Genomic DNA, 18976 nt, shown 5'->3' with positions numbered 1-18976 from the left:
GCATCTGGTTTTCGTCAGGCAGCAGGTAAAAGTGCAGATGGCGGGTCTGATCGTGCTTTAAAAAAAGCAGAGTTAGAAACGTGGGAAAGGCATTTGAGAGGCACCTCTTACTCTGTGTGTGATCTCCCGTGCATCCTGTTTCCTTCTGTAACCAAACACCTCAACTCCTAATACCCAGAGGAAAACCCTTCAGACTTGGGAGACAGCCGGCATTGCTGGCACTGGCCTCTCTGGAGCTTTTCTCGATAAGTTTGAAAATTTAAAGACAGTGGTGGCACTGTTTCTCTGTTGAATGGAGAGTTGACATTCTTATTTTTCCTTCCTCTTCTGCAAAACTGGGGTGTCATCAGATCAGTGTTTGCTGCTGCTGTTGCGTTCTTGGGTAGCCACTCTTTTTTTTTTTTTTTTTCAGAGGGAGTCTTGCTCTGTCGCCCAGGCTGGAGTGCAGTGGCCCAATCTCAGCTTATCGCAACCTCTGCCTCCCAGGTTCAAGCGATTCTCGTGCCTCAGCCTCCCGAGTAACTAGGATTACAGGCGTGTGCCATCACACCCGGCTAATTTTTGTATTTGTAGTAGAGACGGGGTTTCATCATGTTGGCCAGGCTGGTCTTGAACTCCTGACCTCAGGTGATCCGCCCGCCTTGGCCTCCCAAAGTGCTTGGATTACAGGCTTGAGCCACCGTGCCCAGTCAGCCACTCTTATTTTACACACTGCTTCTGGCTGATAGGCCTACAAGGTCTAAGCTTAATCCCAGGAAAAGTGCTACCCGAATGGTCTGTCAGTCAGCCTTTTGTTTGTTTGTCTCGTTCCGGTCATCCTTGCCTCTGTCCACCCAGACAACATTCAATCAACATTTGTTATGGAGCCAGCAGTATGATTTTGCAAGTTACTTTTCTAAACTCTCATTTCCTCATCTGTAAAATAATAGGAGATACTCATTAGGGTGATTCTAAGAGTTAAATGGAAACATCTGAGGAAAGCACTTAGCATCGGTCTGGCACATAGTAAGTGCTCAGTAAATGATGGTTGTCATTATTGTTGAGCAGAGCCAGGGGTTGCCACCCCGGTCAGCTGATTGGCTGTAGACATGGTGTGACCATATGGAGCTGGGATTTGGGCCACACTCAGCACATAGTTGTGATCCATAAATGCACAACCTTTGGACCCCATTGTCACCTCCCTTGGAATATCTTGGTGTTCTTGTTTCAGTCTGATAAGGCCATTGTAGCTGGGTTCTAGGTATCTCTGAGCATGGAGCACTCACGCCAGCCTCAGACATCGCTGTCAAGGGCATCAGCAGCAGTGAGGTGATTCCTCAGCCGGTCATTTGGGCATCGCTGCCTGGGTCTCTCCTGAGCTTCAGCTCATCTTTTTTGTCACCTGCCATACCTTTGCCTCTAAGTGTCCCCCAGTTTTTATTGCTGCCCTCTCCATCCGCACCAGTGCCTCTCTCTGCCAGTTCCACTGTTCTCTCGCCTGCTCTTTAGGATTTCCTTTGTTTTGCCTCCTTGCCTGGTGCTTTCAGCGAGCAGCGCTGACGTCATCTCAGGAACCGTGCTGCGTCTGAGAGAAGAACCTGCAGTAGCTGTTTAAGTGTGCGGTGCTGGCAGAGTACCTCCCTGAAGGTGTCCTGGGGAAAGTGAGTGATTGCTCACTGGGTGGTGAGCCAGGGGCAGGGTTTGGGGAGATATCTGCATTAGCAAGTTAGCATCACTTGAAACACAGGCATGTAACGGGCAAGGATGTGCTCTTCAGCTACCAGGCTGTCCTGGCTGGAGCCGGTGGCCACAGACCTGAGGGACCCCGGCTTTGTTCCCTTAGCTGGCTTTGTTCCCTTAAGCTGCCTTTGTTGTCTCAGTGTAGCTCTCTCTACCTCCTCTGTATTTCACCACTGACAACTCACTCGATTCTCCCTCTGGCAATCTTAGTTACCTGTGAATACTCTTTAACGCCATCTTCTGCCTTCTCAATGAATGAAGGAGATTCTCTCCTTGACTATTTGTGAGCCAAAACCTAACCTTCTCTTGGCTGATCAGTATTAATATATTGTGCTGAGAGGAAATTTTAGAATAAAATTAGACATCAAAAAGAACTGGCACAATTAGTTTCCAAGCCGTTTAAGGTTCCTGGAAGTCTTCTGAATCCATCCTCTTTGTGGGGACCCACCCCAATTCTCCATCTTCCTCCTAAAAATAACGATAATGGCGTTTCACCAGAAGCCGGACAAAAGAATGCTCTGTCTGTTTCGCCTGTGGGAAGTGACAGGAACTGCTGAAACCTGTGTTCTGTGTCACAGAGCCAAGGGTTCACACAGTGCAGAAACAAATCACAGTGTGTCACGGAGACTTTTTCTGTCTCCGGCCCCACTCTGTATTTGAGCCCAAATGTGGAGGGAGATGCTGCAGTTGTGGGAAGGCACTTCCGTGACCCCTCATTATGGTAGAGGAAATGAGAGGCCTGAGGCCACAGCCAGGCTGGCCTTTTGCAAAATGGTCAAATCAGCAGCAATTTGGCCCTGGCTCCCACTTTGTGCCCCACCCACCAACTCCTGCTATCTCCCATCCCCACTCCCAGCGCAGTCGCGTCCATGGCTCCCAGGGCCCCACCAGGCTGCCCTCCCTGTCTGGCTGTGCTCAGCCGCTGTCCTGGTTCTCCCCAGCATTTCAGTACTTTCCTGAGTCCTCCTGCTGGTCCTTGACTTGGCTGGTTGGAAGGTTTGTGGATCATTAGAGCCACTTACTCACACTGAGGAAAGAAAACAGAAGTGGGTATTTGGGGAAGGCCTATGTGTTGCTTCCTCTGTGTGTTCACTCACATTTGCTGATTTCATCCCTACAGTTCCCCTGCCCGGGGAGTGTTATGCAGCCACCTGTACAAATGAAGCAGTTGAGACCCAGTAAGCTTGTGTGATTTCTCCAAGTCATAGCCAGCATGGGCCACTACTTTGAGCTCTAGATAAAGAAAAGGAACCTAGTGTTTTAAAGATTTGCTTCATTGTGGTATAATTTGCTTGCATACAACGGAACTCACCAGTTTAAAATATGTAATTCTTTGTTGACAAACATGAGCAGCCACACAACCACCACCTATCAAATATGGACCACTCCTCTGTCCCCAAAAAGTTCCCTTGTGCCTCCTTGCTACCAGCCCCTCTCCTGCCTCCAGGACCCCAGCCTCAGGGGACCTGAATCCTGCCACTACAGTTTTGCACTGTACAGAATGTGATGCACATGGCATCCTACAGTGTGTAGCCCTTTGAATCTGGCTTCTCTCGCTCAGCACAGTGCTTTTGAGATCCCTCCATGTTCTTGTGTGTATCTAGTTCACACCTTTTTATTGCTGAGTAGGGTTCCGTTTTATGGATATAGCACATTTTGTCCATCTCTTCACAAACTGATGGGCATTTGGGTTGTTTCCAGTTTGGGGCTACTATGAATACAGCTATTAGGATGTGTACAAGTCTTTGTGTGGACACAGGTTTTATTTCTCTTGGGTAAATACTTAGGAGTGGGATTGCTGGGTCATTTGGTAACTTTGAAAGAAACTACCAGACTGTTTTCCAAAGTGGCTGCACCATCCTACCTCCCCACCAGCCATGTATGAAGGGGACCGGGTACTTTTGATGCCTAATCTAAGTTCTTTTCCCTATACCATAGTGTCACTGGCTGCTGAGGTGCGAATTGCTGACTATCACATTCACATGCCCTGAGCCTGTCCTTTTCACAGGAATTTCTTGGAAAGTCTGACCATTTGGAGCCAGTTGCTGGTGGGGAGGTTTCCTGAGGAGGTCCTTTCATCACACAGGGCCGTCTCCTCTGATGGCTGATCACCACACACACCCTCCTTTGCTGCCCATCCTTTCTGCCGTCACCTTGGTTCATAATTAAGATTCACCTGTGGGTGACGTGGGACCCACTTGCAGCCCATGGACACTGGAACAGTCCATTCTGTGCAGTTCACTTCCTGGCTTTCACGGCACCTACTATGCTGGCTCCTGGCCAGAGATGGAGTTAGAGGTGTCCTGTCCCAAATGAACCTGCATGCAGAAGCCACTGGGGCAGTGGGGACACTGCCTCAGCATCATCACAGCTGCCAGAGGCTGAATTGCTGCTGTGCAGGGCTGTGTGGAACTGCTGCTGTTATATGCGCATCTCCGGTCTGGAGCTTGCTGCTCAGGGCTCTCCTTAACAAGCGGCCAAATGACTGCAGTTTTCTGCATTGCTTTCCTGTGAGGTCCCTGATGTTTTGAAAGAGCCAAAACCAGACAGGGATGCTATCAGGTTGCAGTTCTGCTCTGTTGTGGTGTTTCTGTGAAATGGAGAGGAGGATTTTGAGGAATGTGTAGTTGGGTTTACTTTTGTCTTTATTTGTGGGCATGTTTCCTGAGTGAGGACCACTGATAATTAGGTGTTCTTTGGTGTAGGGGCCCAGATGGACAGCGTGGACCCCTTTCTAAGGGATTGTTGTCACAGTGAGAGGGCTGAGCACTGAAGTTTATCTTGCAGCATGCGTGCTGGGAGCAGCCCCTCCAAATTGGTGCACGTGTTTGGGGAGGGCAGAGACCAGGGCACAGACTGGCTGGCAAACTCGCCTGCTGGGCTGAAGAGTCCTGACCTTGCAACTGGAAGCTCTGCTTTCCTGCCCTTTCCCTGATTCCTGCTAATTTTATGACCTTTCATCAGTCACCTGACCTTTCTGGACTTCAGCGTCCTCACTGTATAATAGAAAGAATGATCCCTCTTTCACAGGGATTGGAGGATCTGCCGCGTGTCAAAGCCCTTTCTACACCTGTGACAACACAAGATGTGCCCGTAGACACCTTTCTGAACATGGGTGTGGCAGAAGGCCAAGCTCACACCCAGAAAGCCACCTGCCCTTCTGCTCCTTATCCTTGTCAGTCGCTGTGCCTGCATCCCCAGGAGGACCTCACGGGACTGGGAGGGCCTGGGACAGGCTGGCCTCAGATCACCAGGCATTGAGACCTCCTGCTAGCCTCAGGCTGACAGTAATAAATGTACAAAAGAGGACAGAGCTGCTGAGGAGCGGCTGGGAGTCCAGACACAAAGGACTGTCGGAGGAGTGAGTCAGGGCCTCTGAAGGTCACTTGAGGAGTGTCCGCCCTGAATCATTGACCTGCGGCATGAATGGAGAAGTAGCTGGGATACCAGCCCTGGGGCAGTTCCATTGGGTGGATCTTTAGAAGAGAGAGGTGGCGTGGGAGGGGTAAGAGCACTGATTTGGGAATCAGAGACCTGGGTTCTTTAAGTCAATTTATCCAGGACTAGCTGTGTGGCCTTGGGCAGGTTGACAGCAGTTTCCTTTCTGTGAAATGATCAACTCCAGAACTATTGATACCTGTCACATTGTGTTTGGGGAATGAGGCTCAACAGCCGAGCCTGCACCATGACCCCGGTGCCTCTCCCCCATCCCCCTGCGCCTTTTGGACCAAGAAGTGCAGGCACAGATAGAGCTTTCAAGCCTCTTTTGTTCCTGGATGGTGGATCCCTGTGGTTAATGAATAATTGCTTTAGGGGCAGAGGTGAGGGGAGTGAGTATTGCAAGTGAAGATGGGTGGGACAGGGAGGTTCCAGGTGGTGAAATATTTTCAGGCAACAATCTGCAGAGAAACTTGACCATGACTCAGCTAAGCAGTGGGCTCACTGGCAGGTGGCCCTGGTGGCCCCCTGCTGACATCTGCTACTACTGTGTGCTTCCAAGGCCCAGCGAGCAGCACCGGTGATTGATGATACTACAGCGCATCCCAGGAGCTGGTATCCCAGGGCAGCGCTGCACCTGCTGGCAGCCAAACCCTTCGGGGCAGGACACCGGCCCACAGCCTCGGAGCGCCCAGTTCCAACCATCAATTTTAATTCTTGTGAGGCTTTTCTTTTTCACATTTGGTTACCCTGTTGAACCAATCTGCTTCTTCCCACCAGTATGACAGTTTTTAGCTCAGTTCCAGGCCAAATTTTGCACTGGCCCGAGTCCCACTGTTTGTTTCTTTCATGTGTATCTTTTACATCCTGGGAGCCCTGACCGACTCCCAGTGCCTGAGCCCCTTCCCCTAAGCATGAGGACTCCCGCCTCAGGTCTGCCCTGTTCCAGCTGCTGGAAGGCATCCAGAATTCTAATGTTATTCATCATAGTTGCAGTTTCACTACAAAGCATATGGTTTGACCTCTTATCCTTACTAAGTCATTTCAGACTTAGGGAAAAAATACCCACTTAAGGAAAATTCTTTTACCAAAAAATTTTGTGTTTTTTTTTCTAATAAGAGGTAATTCATGCACATGTTAAAAATCAAAAGCAGATGTGAGGTGTGTGGGAAAAAAATGAAATGTTCTATATTTCAACGTAAAACTTTGGGTGACAAAAACTTCAGTGATTTTTAATGGTGATTATAATATCAATAGTACTTTTGAAATCAGATGTTGGGCTGGGGCACAGTGGCTCATGCTTGTAATCCCAGCACTTTGGGAGGCTGAGGTGGGAGGATCACTGGAGCCCAGGAGTTCGAGACGCTGTCTCTCCAAACAAACAAACAAACAGACAAACAAACAAACAAACTCAGGAGTTTGAAGCTGCAGTGAGCTATTATTATACCCCTGCACTCCAGCCTGGGCTACAGAATCAGACCCAGTCTCAAAAAAAAAAAAAAGAAAGAAATCTGATAACACTTTATTTGATGCTGCAGTGTTGTAAAGGATCATCAGACACACAAATTTGATAATTAAATAATGTTCCTAAGTCTTCTGATTGAAATAATAACACAATGCAAAATCTCTTTTCCTGGCTTCCCTTCCTGGTCTTCCTTTTGTCCTCTCTTCCTGCCAGCTCTGCTCTCTGCCCATTCTGAATGGCTGTCTGCTGCAGTGATCAGTGCTCTTCTTTGGATGTTCTTTGCTCCAGATGCTTTATGGCATTTCCTTCTTTTAATTTTCTTTCTTTCTTTCTTTTTCTTTCTTTCTTTCTTCTTTGTTTTCTTTCTTCTTCTTCTTCTTTTTTTTTTTTTTTTTTTTTTTGAGACAGAGGCTTGCCCTGTTGCCCAGGCTAGAGTGCAGTGGCACGATCTTGGCTCACTGCAACCTCTGCCTCCTGGGTCCAAGCGATTCTCGTGCCTCAGCCTCCTCAATAGCTGGGATTACACACCACCATACCCAGCTAATTTTTGTATTTTTAGTAGAGGTGGGGTTTCCCCATGTTGACCAGCTGGTCTTTAATTCCTGACCTCAAGTGATCCTCTGCCATGGCCTTCCAAAGTGCTGGAATTACAGGCGTGAGCCACCACGCCCCGTTCTTCTTTTAATTTCTATTGTGAAAAATTTCAAATATGTACCAAAGTGGAGAGAGCAGAATAATTAACCCTCATACACTCATCACCTAGTTCCAACAATTATCAGCTCATGTCCAATCTTATCTGTACCGTCACTCCCGTACCCTCCCTGTAGAATTTTCAAGAAAATCCAAGGAACACCTGGTGTATTCCCACATGTTAATGAAAACTCTTGTTGATTAAGCTGCACTTATTAGTAATTTATTTTCCCATTTAAAATTAATTTTCAGAATACCAAGAAGGCACCATTTCATCCTTATATCTGATTGGTGAAAAGTGTAGTAGTCAAATAGTACCAAGGTTGACAAAGACATCAAAGAATAGAAACACTTAAACACTGATCTTGGCAATGTAAATTGGTGCACTGATGTTGCAGAGCAATTTGGGCAATGCCTAGTGTGGTTGAAGATAACCTTGGACGAAGATTTACAAGAATATTTATTGCAATGAAAAGTTGGAAACCACTTAAAAATTTATCAGTAGGAAAATGAATACATTGTGCTATAGATAATGATTATCCAGACAGTGGACCATGGTATAAAGCAGTTGAAAGGAATGCCCTGGAGTGACATATGTCAACAAGGATTACCCTCAAAAATGTTTTGTCAATTAAAACAGATGCAAAAGGGTGCATACAGTGTGATGCCATTTTAAACAGTTTTATAGCATCCAAAAACTCTGTATATTGTTTATGGCTACATACATAGGTAGTAAAAGCATAAAAATAAATGTGCAAGAGTGGTAAATACCAAATTCGGGATGTTGTCATTTCTGGGATGGGTGGAATAGTGGGGCTTGAAAGGGGGTGAAATAGGGATTGAAGCACAGCCTGTAATGCTTTCTTTCTTGAAAGGAAAAATAAAAAAACTAAACCAGGTGTGGCAAAATGTTAAGATTTGACAAGTCCTGGATGTGCACAGACATTTGTTATACATGTGTCTGTGTAAATGGTTCCTTATTCAGAAATGAAAAATCTGTAATTGTTCATCTTCTGATAAACTTGCAATGGCTGCTGTTGTCACATGATGTCATTTTCTTGACTGGAGCTAAGAAACTTGGCATTTTTTGTTATTTAATCCTGAGAAAATGCATATTTTCTTCTTTCTTCCTTCCTTCCTTTCTTTCTTTCTTTTTTTTTTTTTTGAGATGGAGTCACGCTGTTGCTCAGGCTGGAGTGCCGTGGTGCCATCTCGGCTCATTGCAACCTCTGTCTCCTGGGTAAGGGTTCAATCGATTCTCCTGCCTCAGTCTCCTGAGTAGCTGGGATTACAGGTGCCTGCCACCAAGCCCAGCTAATTTTTGTGTTTTCAGTAGAGACGGGGTTTCACCATGTTGGCCAGATTGGTCTTGAACTCCTGACCTCAAGTGATTCGCCCAACTTGACCTCCCAAAGAAAGTGCATATTTTCTTTGTCATCTTATGATAGTAGATCATGGAGCTCCTTTAACTTAATGGATTCCTAGAGGCCAGTGACTCCTGATATTTTCCAGACGCTTATAGCTAGAAAAAGCCAAGTAATGAAGCTCTGATGCTTTGACTTGCTTTGACTTAACAAGCTTAGGGAAGAAGCAATGACACTGTATTTTCTTTCTTTTTGAGAGAAAGTAAGAACAGCATGAAAGGAGAAGGCAGAGGAGGAGGATCCCTTCTTGCCTCTGTGTAGACCGATCCTAGATGCAGCTTCCTTCTGTCATCTGCAGGTGGTTGGGACCTGTCTCCACACCCGTGGTTTGCTCAGGAGTAGGGAGGACAGGCCTGAGAGGAAAAAGGACTTGAGCTGGGCTTTGCAAAGGCACAGTAGAATTTAGGTAGATAATGAGGAGTGGTTGAATAGATGTGTCACGGAATTAAGGGTCCATCTTTAGCAAGACACAAACCCTTTAAGACCTGGTCCTGCCTGTCCATCTTCACTTCTTAGTACCCATCTCTGTCCACCCTCCCCTTCCAGCCAGACCCAGTATTGGCCCTATTGGCGAGCTCACCTTTGTCCTCTGGCCTTGGCTTTGCACGTGCCCTGACTTCTCACATGGAAGGGAATGAGTGCCTGTGCCTCACCTGTCCCTGGGCTGCCTGCCAGTCTCCTGCATACTCCCAGACTCTGATTGCGGCAATCTCCCAAGGAATGCACCTCCTGATTTTCCAGGCTGACCACCCTTCTGTAGCACCTGGTACAGTTAGTTGCTTTGTTCTTAATTCTATGCTTGTCTTCCTACCTGTGACTTTTTTCCTGGGCAGTGGTGCAGCTGGAATGGTTCAGCATGCATGCAGACTTTTCACGTGACCCTGGGCAGATACTTAATCTTGGGGTGCCACACTCATCTGCAGGTGGGGATGGAATGGTACCCAACTCCTGTTGTAGTTGTGAGGGTTAAACATTGTAACACATATAAAGCAATTAGGGGAGGGCCTGGCAAGACTCTGCTGTAGGAGTTAGCTGGTCCTATTGCTGTTTTCCCCATTTCTTCCTTTTCTCTTTTTCTCTCTTCCTCTTCTTTTTTCTTTTCCATCTTGTTTTTAGCTCACCAACACAAGAGATGGAAAACGATGTAAGCATAGCCTTTAGGTGTGAATGACTCCTGGTCAACTTGGAGGAAATGGCAAAATCCAGTAAGACGTACCGGGGATGTTTGGAGGGAGTGGTGGGTGTCAGAGTGAGTAGGTGGAGTGGGGCCAGACTTTAGAAGCCTTGGATACCAAGACACGGAGTTTGGACTTGATGTGATTGGCAAAGTGGAATCTCCGGCCATTGTTTATCTGGTGAGAAACTGCTGTGGGAGACCTGTATGGCAGTAGTTTACTGAGTGGACTGGCAAGAGTAGGGAAAAGAGTGGCAGTAGGAGACTAACTTTAAAATATGCTGAAGACCTTTAATATTGAAGAGCAGCGTGGCTGGATTAGGCAGTTGACAAGTGGCACTGACACAGGAGAGACTAGAGAGAGAGGAGCAGGACTCCCTGGCTTGATGAAAGAACAAAAGAGAGGGAGCTACAATCTTTGGCTTTGAGATTTGTAGCTAGTTGGACTGCAGGAAACCACAAAAAGAGTGAGGGTAGCTGGAATAGCATATTTTTGTTTTATTTTTAAGATGTGTGGGATGGCCTAGGATTTGGCATCAAAGTTGGTGTGTTTATTGAGTATAGTTACTGTGGATGCCAGCAAGAAGGAGAGCGATCCGATATATTTACAGGCAGGACAAGAGCAGTCCACATCCGTAAGCAGGAAAACAGTGTGGCCAAGTATTGTTTTCGGACTTCTTTGGCTGCGTTAGCATGCTGGAGGGTTCTGTCCTTGACCTTTCTGAATTGACTATTGTGTTTGGTGAAAGTAGAGGTCACACTCATCTGAATCACCTAAAGTCATCTGTATGACTTTAAGGCAAGAAGGAACAGCAAGTGTGTAGGTTGGCAAGTAAGATAAAAAACAGTCCGGATGAGATAGACTGATGGCCTGGCCCTGTTGATGGAACAAGGGTGAATGCAAGGTTTTGAATCCAGCTGCAAAGTGTAGGAGGGGGAGGCTGTGGGAAGGATGGAGGGTTTTAGTTGGCAGGTGTCTGCCACGTGATGTGGCCTCTAAACAGCCATCTTGTCTGCACTGAAAGAAGGTGGTCTGCTTGCTTCATCCTTGTCCACAAGCTGGTCAGGCCACTTGTGGAGTATAGCATGCAGTTCTAGGCAGTACACTCTGAAGGACGGAAACAAACTGGAACCTGTTTGTAAGACACAGGGAAAGGAAATGAACCCATAGAACATGAGCTCCTTCAGGGTAAAGATTGTTCATTTGCATCTCTCTGAAGCTTTAGTGCCTACCTACATCAGTGTCCAGGCCTAGTATGTGCTCACCTGTTGTCCATTGAATAAATAAGAGATTGGGGTTGTCCTGTATCCAGGACCCCTGAGCCCAATTTGAGTTCAAAGTAAAGAAGAACTTTCGAATAGTGCTTTCCCCTGGCTGCCATTAGTGGGAATGTGCATCTGCACGCAGGATGTCCACAGGCACAGGGGAGTCAAGCTTAGGTGGGTGGTTAGACCGGTGGGCCTCAAGATTCCATCACTCTCTCCATGCGCTGGACTCTTTGATGGGAGAGAGTAAGGGAGCGTGAGTAAAAGTCCGTGATCAGTGAGGGTGGCCAGGAGCAAGTCGATTTGTAAATGAATGTGCTGGCAAACTTCCTTACAAAGGCACTCCCCCAACAATTTTTTATAATTTCTAGATAAAATGCCCTGATTTGAAAGAAAGTCAAGTAGAATTTGAGTTAATAGCGTGAATTGCAGTCCCATCTGCTCAGCTCCATGGCCCGGTAGATCTGTGGAGCCATTTGTCACAATTTGTTTTAAAGCCAGGAAGAAAAACACTCCTGGACACTGCCCAACACTTCTCACGGAGATGCTGTCTTTGGAGTGTGGAAGGGGTGGGGTGGGTGGTGAGAAAGCTGGGTGGGACAGAAGGAGGGCCCTGTGCTTTGAGGCAAAAGACAGGGTTCCAGCCCCTCTTCACTGGCTTGCTTGTGACCTTGGGTGAGTCATGCAGCTTTTCAGGCCTCGCTCCTGGTGTAGAAGGGCTAGACAGATCACAGCTTCTCCAAGTCTGGGCCAGATGACTGTTCATTCTTTCCTCCATTCAACTAATATTTTTTGAGCTCTGTTTAGGTGCCACACACCATTCTAGGAGCTGGGGATCCAGCAGTGCCAATACTTTTTCTAGTTTTAAGACTGGATGCTAAGAACATCATTGTCTACTTCATGCTATTGGAGAGCAGCAGTTCTTCCAGGCATAAGAACCTGGAAGAACCAGTTTGCATGAAAACTGTCCTGAGCTCGGGAAAGGCTGTCACCAGCCTTCCTCTTGACGTGCTTGAGGCCAAAAAGGGGAGATAGGGCCAACTCAGAGTGCATGAAAACCAAGCCGTGAAGAGTGGATAGCTGAAAAGATGCCTGTGAAAGCAACTTTGATCAGGGAAGGAATGGTGGACTCGGTATGGGGAATTCTTCTTGGGAAGGTGATTGTGGAGCGGCTCTCAGGAGACAAGAGGCTTTGTTTGATGACTGGCAAAGGCCTTTTGAGAGGGTGTGGTCGGGGTGATGGCTGGCACCTGTGAGGAAGACAGTTGTTCTGGCGAGTGGAGGTGTACTGGGAAAGGGTGTTCCAGGAGAATAACCAGTTGATTCATCCCACAAACATTTATTGGGCACCTACTGTCTGAAATGCAAGGGGACACACAAAGATGAGTTAAGGATTTGACTTAAGGCACAACACAACACAACACAACACAAGGCAGGAATGGTTGCCTGCATAAGGCACTGAGGAAGGTTCCCTAGCAGAGATGACGGATGAGCTAGGCCTTAAAGTATGAGTGGGCATTGGCTGGGCGTGGGGTGGAGAAAAGGCCTTTCCAGATGAAGGGCTCTGAAATGCTTTATGAGTTTGCCTTGGCAGAGACCAGAGACCCCATAACCAGATGCTGTTCATTTGATTCTTGGAATCATGGGAATACTTCAGTGCCCCAAAAAGAAGATGCCGTTACAATGTTTGAAGATGACATTCTTTGTGCTTAAGCTGCCTTAAGCCTTTTCTTAAACAGCCTGGATGTGCAGCAAAAAAGAGTCCTTTCTGCCCCGTGTTGTAGGGCATTGGAAAGGATGACGTACTGGGAGGTGGCTGATGCAGCCTCCAGTGCAGAGGCCTGGAAAAGTGGATGATCTGTGGCTACAGGAGGGAGAGGTTAGGGTGGGTGAAGAAGCATTATGAATGAGCAGAATCTAGGAACACTCCATGGGTGAGGGTCATATTAAGAAATGAGAGAAGGGCACAGACTACTCTATGCCAGGAAGAGAACTGGGGAAGGCCAACTATAACAGGGATTGTTTTGGAGGAATGGATAGTGTAGACAGTCACAGTGAATTTGTTTAAACAAATATCTGGAATTGGTGACTCAAGGGCTTGGTCAAGCTCAGTGGCAAAAAATCAGTGAGAACAGGAACATGAAGTAAGTTAGAGATGGGGCCTAGACGTTTGGGATTCTACTGTTTAGAAGCAGGTGTTGCAGTTATCCAGTGCTGCATAACAAATCATCCCAAATCATAGTGGCTTAAAGCAAAAATTAGTTTATTCTCTTTCATGAAGTCTGTATGTCAACATCAGGAAGGGCTGGGCTCGTGGTTCTGGCTCAGTCTTTCATGGGGTTGCAGTCAGATAGTGGCTGGGGCTGGGACACTAGAGAGCTGGAGCAGTGGAGACTGGCATCTCATTCTCTTCACCTCGTCTCTCCTGTGGGCTAGCTTGGGCTTCCTTATAGTGTGGTGGGCTCAGAGCAGGCAGATGGCTTACACAGCAGCTCGGGCTCCAAGTGTGTGTCCCAGGATTGCTGGCAGAAGCTGCATTCCCTTTTTGTGACCTAGCCTTAAGGTCACAGAGTGTCACTTCTACCAGAGCTGTAGCCCACCTAGATTCAGAGAGAGGAAACACAGGTTCTGCCCTCTCGATGGAAGGAGTGTCAAAGTCATGGGTAAGCAGAGCAGGCATGGGAGATGTCATTGCAAGCCAACTTTGGGAAATACATTTTGTCTCCGGTGGGGAAATTGCATGAACAAATGAACTCCCTCATAGCAGAGAATGGAGAGTACCACCTGAGATTTGATGGGCAAACTGAGAACTGGGAGAGAAGCAAGAGAGGAGGCAGCGAGTGACTGAGGAGATGTGGGCAGGGAGAGAGGAGGAAAGCCAGGTGATGTTCTGGGCATGAAGCCAGGCTTGCTGTGGGTGCTCCAAGGCAGATGTGAACGAGTGAGGATGGGAAAGAAGTGGGGTTGGCCAGGACCATGGGAACACGTGGCTCTTGTTTTTCAGTTGTTCTCTCCACTAGCTGGAGCCTACCCTTTTTTCCTCTTAGATTTTTAAACAGCGTTTTATTAGGAGAAATTTAAAATTATCCTTGTCTTTTTTATACTGTCTCCTCATTTTGCTTTGTCGTGGCATGTGTTTTTACACATTTATTTTTGAATAGGTAATGCATTCACATGCGTTCAATTAAAAAGGATACCAAAGAATGTACACAGTGCAAATTAAGTCTGCTTCTGACCTAATTCTTCCAGAGACCATCGCCGTTACTGGTTTCATGTGTGTCTTTCAGAAAATATTCTCTACCGTTGTTGCCTCTTTGATGCCGACTGTACACACTAGCAGGGCTGATTTGCTCCTGCTTTGGTTTTAGCCTCGATGGCATAGAGGCCCTTCCATAGCATGAACAGCCCTCTCCAGACCCATCTACTCACCTTTGTGAGAGGGCAGAGCCTGCAGACTCAGGGCTGACCTCAGCCCTGGATTCTGTTCAAGCTTTTTCTGAACCTGTAATTTTAAGTGCTGCTTCTAATTCAAGTCAGACTTTTTCTATGTTGGCTTTTCGTTTTTGCTTTCTATGGTTTCTCAGTGTTCTTTCACCCCTAAGATCATGATTTTGAATTTTTATTTTTGGTTCTAAGGCGCAGAGAGTTTAGTAGACAAGAAGGAAGGGAGAAGACAGAAGGAAAAAGCTGCCCCGTACAGAGACAGAGGGAAGGGGGCTCCAAAGCCGAAAGAAGAGGTCCCCACGATTGTGAAATTTTTTGTTCTCTCACTTACATGCACCTTTCCCTGGCATAGGGGAATATATAGTTAGGGAAATGCAGGGGCTTTCAATACTGGTATCACAGAATTACACAGTCTTGGAGCTGAAAGGGGATTTTAAGGATTGTCTGGGTGTTTTTCTTCTTTAAAAAAAATTTTAAAATTTTGCTTATAGGGAATTCAGCCTTAGAGAAAAAGTTAAAAGATTATGTAAGGTCTCTTCTTCCACCCAACTCAAAAAACACCCCCAAACCAAAACCAACTCTGCTGGACTTTCTGGGATGGTTGATGACCTACTGAGATCTGATTTCCCAGAGCAGGAGGTGGGAAGTGCTTGATCCAGCAATGGGAGGGAATGCTTGAACCCAGGATATCCCAAATGGCTGGAATGTAGGACAGTGGTACCATGCCCAGGCTGGGACCAACTTCTTAGCTGGCCTTCAAAGGGACAGATGGCAGCTGAACTCTGCGTAATGCCCAAATACAGCTCACAGAACCCAAAGACTGTGTCTCTGCAGCGTGCAGCATTGGTCTATAGCATTTGAAGCTATTTTTTCTCTGTAAGTGTCCACAAAATTCGTCACTTTACAATGAGCTTGGCAGGATAGCTGCAGTGAAGAAACTCTCCACACAGGTCCCAGTGTCTCTTCTGGAATTTTGCCTGAGCAAGTAAATCAAATACTTGGTAAACACACTGATGTCACTGTCCCTAGCCATGGGGATTTAGAACTTTTTCAAAACCCCTTTCTCTCTGTGGCCCCACTTGTTTCTCGCTGCAGCCTTTTATTTTTCTGGAGTTGGCTGTGGTTCTCCCTCCATGCTCCAGGCCAGGTTCTGTGGGCTGGACAGGTATGGCGAGTTAATCCTGCCAGACGAGGTCAGCTCTGAGTTAATGAGTACAGCCTCTCTTTCTCCCCTCCAGAGCATGGATTTCTTTCTTAAGTTTGAGGAGACAAAAATATATGCCTGACAAAGGATTACCGGGAAGAATTAAACACGAGTCCTTCAGCATGCACGTATCCATTTGTTGCCTTCCGGGTTTGCTTTCTTCTCAGCCTGCGAGGCTCCTCATTCAGTATGCTGTGTTGTGTGGTTAGCTGTTCCATAGTCATACTGAAAGTGGCTTCTCAGATGCTGCTTGAGTCCTGGGGAATGTCACCATCCGATGACAGTCTAGCTGAGAGATGCTAGCACGCCCACCCCTTCTTCCCCCCACAGATCCATATCTCATCTAGCTGTACACAAAAGGCAACTGATAACTCCTGTTATCAGCACTAGGTGGGGTGGGAGGTTTTGGGGGATGGTCAGCATTTTTTGGTTTCGATGACCATGTAAGTATTTTAAATCTGCAGCTCTGGCAAACTGATAACCTCCACAACTATATCATCAGAGCCCTCATTAATGGAATCATTTTCTAATTTGAACACCTTGTTTGTCCTTCCTCTCATTTCTTAGTGAACCTGTCAGTCTTCCCCAGCCCTTCACTGGTTGAGTTGTGGCAGTTTGGAGTCTTTTGCTTTTCAGGAATAGGCTCTGCTCTCTGACCGTTTCTGTGTCTTGACCTTTGTGGCGAGTGGAGCTCATTTGGTAGTTATAGGGTCTACAGTTGATGGAGACATTGAGGAGGATTGAATGCCAGGTATTTTAAAGTGGCCTTGAATTAACTGTTTTTTGGCATCTTTCTCAAATGGATCCATGGGTTATCATGGCCTGTGGAGGCACCTCCCATCTGAATGCTTGCCATCCATCAGCTGAGTGACTGTTGACCTTTGCTCCATATGTCCTCCTGTGGGCTTGGCTGGGGAAGCTCACTTCTCAGAGGCACATGGCAGGATGGTCTAGAGAGTTGGTTGGGCCCAGGGAATAGATTCTCTGTCCAGTGATGACCTCATCAACTTCTCCCAAGCAGTTGCCTAAGACCTGCGAATTGTGGACAGCTCCCTGGATATCCCCACATTCTCTTGCCTGTTAACTACATCTCTTTACTATCTCTCTGGCCAGACCACCCCCTTTCACTCCCAGTGGAGGTCCAGTGATCTGATTTGGTTGGGGTCCTCAGCAGCTCTCACCTGGATCACCGCAGGAGCATGAAGGAATCTTCTGCCAGGGCCCCTTTCCCATCACTCCTGCCAGAACAATCTTCCCAAGGCAGGATTTGGAATATCTGTTTCCTTATTTACACCCCCAGTGGCTCTCCACTGCTCATAGTTCAAAGCCCATGCTCTTTAGTAGAGCACCCTATCCCTGCCCTGGCCTGGCCCCTGTCTGCTGCTTCCTCTTGGTCTTCCTCTACTTTCATGGACCCTACCACCCATCAATGTCAAACTGCTGCAGTACTCTGGACCTCCGGCTCCTCGTGCAGCTCTGCATAGATTCGAGCTGCTCTCTGCTGAGGTCCTATGTGATGTCCTCCCCACCCCACCACGATCTAGCAGAAATACCTACTCATCCTAATTAGAACTGGGCACAAGCAACCTCTCTTGTGTGAAGCCTTTCCTGACGCCTGTGGAACACCTAGCTCGGTGTCCTCAGTGCATCTTTCACAGTGCCACGCTTTGCCGCCTCTGTTTACTTATCTATCTCTGCCTCCTAGACTGTAAAGATTGGGTCTTGTAGCTCATCAGCCCAGTACAGTGTCCAGCAAAGAGGAGACACCATATATATTTGTGGAATGAATGAAACAGAAGCTTAGAGTCAGAGATTGTGGGTTTGGATGCCAACTCTGTATCCCACTGACAATTTCTCCGAGCCTCAGTTTGCTCATCTCATCAGCGAAATGGGGAATGTACACTTCCCTCACAGGGTGGCTGTGAGATTAAAGTAAGAAGACACCTTTGGAAATGCTAGTTTGCTGCAGATTTGGCTAGTGCCTGGAATTGAGCAGGTACTCAGTCCTTATTTCCTGTTTCAGGTGATAACCAGAGAGAAAGCCTCTACTTCAGGAGACCGCATCTCATTGTGCCTTTTGTCTTCTTCCAAAGAGGCTTCTCTGATTTTGCCCCTAATTAGGAGGGCGTGCCTGGAGAGCCCCTTAACAGCATCTGGGCAGGGCTTGCCACCAGGGGGCAGAGGCTTTTGAACCATCACTGCTTTGTCAGAGCCTGTAGCGAATGTTCAAAGCCCAAATCTTGTTCCAAATCCCATTCCCTCCAGGACCCTTGTCCTCAGTGGGGATTTAGAAATGGCCCCATGCTGTATGTCACGTCCTTGGCTCTGTGTAAGTCAGCGACAGCCTGCATGTTAATGCCTAAACTGCTTTCTCAAGATTCCTCCAACCATCTGTCATTCAGGTGCCTTCCTTGTACCCTGAAAGGATGATTTTCATCAGGGCTCACAGTACCTGTTAATGCCTCATGAAGGCATCCAGTTGGAAGAAGCAAGAGAAGAGATGCGTTAGAGGGCTCGGAAGGGATCAACATGGAATGGAAAGTTTAATAACTCAGAAAATAGGAGTTTTTAGGAAAGTGGCTAAACAGCTTTAAGAAAAAGTAAATGAGGTCAAACCTGTTCAACCAGGCCCTTGTGCATTAAGCAGCTCAAACAGAGGGCAACTGATTAACCATTTGACACTTCACACACCTGCAAAGTTGACCTGACCAGGCTGGCTCCAGCCAATTTTGCAATCATTTTCTCTCTCCACCCATTCCCTATTTCACCATCAGCCCCCCTCCCCCACTTCAGGCTCCTTGGCCACCTCCCTCCTCTCCACTTACACAACCTGAATTCATCTGTACCAAAATATTCACCCCTCTCTGACTTCTTTTTTTGGGTTTTATGAGGCAGGTGGTCTGAGAAATTGCTTATGACTGTTGGTCCTAATTATGAATCTAATTCATTCAGACTATAGAATACTTAGAAAACACAAAGTGCAAGGAAAAAACAATCCCTTATTACCCGACCTCCCTTTAGCGTTTTTTAAATATACTAGCCCAGTCCTTTTTCCACACATATATAGAGGTGTGTGGGTGTGTGTGGGTGTTTATCTTTACGAAAATACTTTCAAATCCTTTTATAGCCTTTCTCCCCTTTTACTTAGTAGT

The 18976-nt window shown here is 47.0% G+C and overlaps 1 pseudogene across 1 annotated transcript in view, besides 4 other annotated features; it reads left to right on the top strand.

The window, feature by feature from the left end:
* The first annotated feature begins 1355 nt into the window (after positions 1–1355).
* GGT2P (gamma-glutamyltransferase 2, pseudogene) overlaps positions 1356–18976 on the top strand; it is a 51709-nt pseudogene continuing 34088 nt past the window's right edge. Inside the window, exon 1 of the transcript NR_172944.1 lies at positions 1356–1640. The product of NR_172944.1 is annotated as a gamma-glutamyltransferase 2, pseudogene (transcript). The remainder of the gene's footprint in view (positions 1641–18976) is intronic.
* Positions 1564–2066: an enhancer, noted in NCBI's record as "NANOG-H3K27ac-H3K4me1 hESC enhancer chr22:21613263-21613765 (GRCh37/hg19 assembly coordinates)". NCBI's record gives its function as "activates a minimal SCP1, AML or CMV promoter by ChIP-STARR-seq in primed H9 embryonic stem cells {active_cell/tissue: H9 hESC(primed)}" and the evidence as "EXISTENCE:reporter gene assay evidence [ECO:0000049][PMID:30033119]".
* Positions 4227–4924: an enhancer, noted in NCBI's record as "OCT4-H3K27ac-H3K4me1 hESC enhancer chr22:21610405-21611102 (GRCh37/hg19 assembly coordinates)". NCBI's record gives its function as "activates a minimal SCP1, AML or CMV promoter by ChIP-STARR-seq in primed H9 embryonic stem cells {active_cell/tissue: H9 hESC(primed)}" and the evidence as "EXISTENCE:reporter gene assay evidence [ECO:0000049][PMID:30033119]".
* Positions 4925–5620: an enhancer, noted in NCBI's record as "NANOG-H3K27ac-H3K4me1 hESC enhancer chr22:21609709-21610404 (GRCh37/hg19 assembly coordinates)". NCBI's record gives its function as "activates a minimal SCP1, AML or CMV promoter by ChIP-STARR-seq in naive and primed H9 embryonic stem cells {active_cell/tissue: H9 hESC(naive and primed)}" and the evidence as "EXISTENCE:reporter gene assay evidence [ECO:0000049][PMID:30033119]".
* Positions 5621–6318: an enhancer, noted in NCBI's record as "NANOG-H3K4me1 hESC enhancer chr22:21609011-21609708 (GRCh37/hg19 assembly coordinates)". NCBI's record gives its function as "activates a minimal SCP1, AML or CMV promoter by ChIP-STARR-seq in primed H9 embryonic stem cells {active_cell/tissue: H9 hESC(primed)}" and the evidence as "EXISTENCE:reporter gene assay evidence [ECO:0000049][PMID:30033119]".

This window comes from Homo sapiens, chromosome 22 (assembly GCF_000001405.40).
Source record: "Homo sapiens chromosome 22, GRCh38.p14 Primary Assembly".
Lineage (NCBI taxonomy): Eukaryota > Metazoa > Chordata > Mammalia > Primates > Hominidae > Homo > Homo sapiens.
Note: the sequence above shows the minus strand (reverse complement) of the source record. Positions and strands in the feature narration are given on the sequence as shown.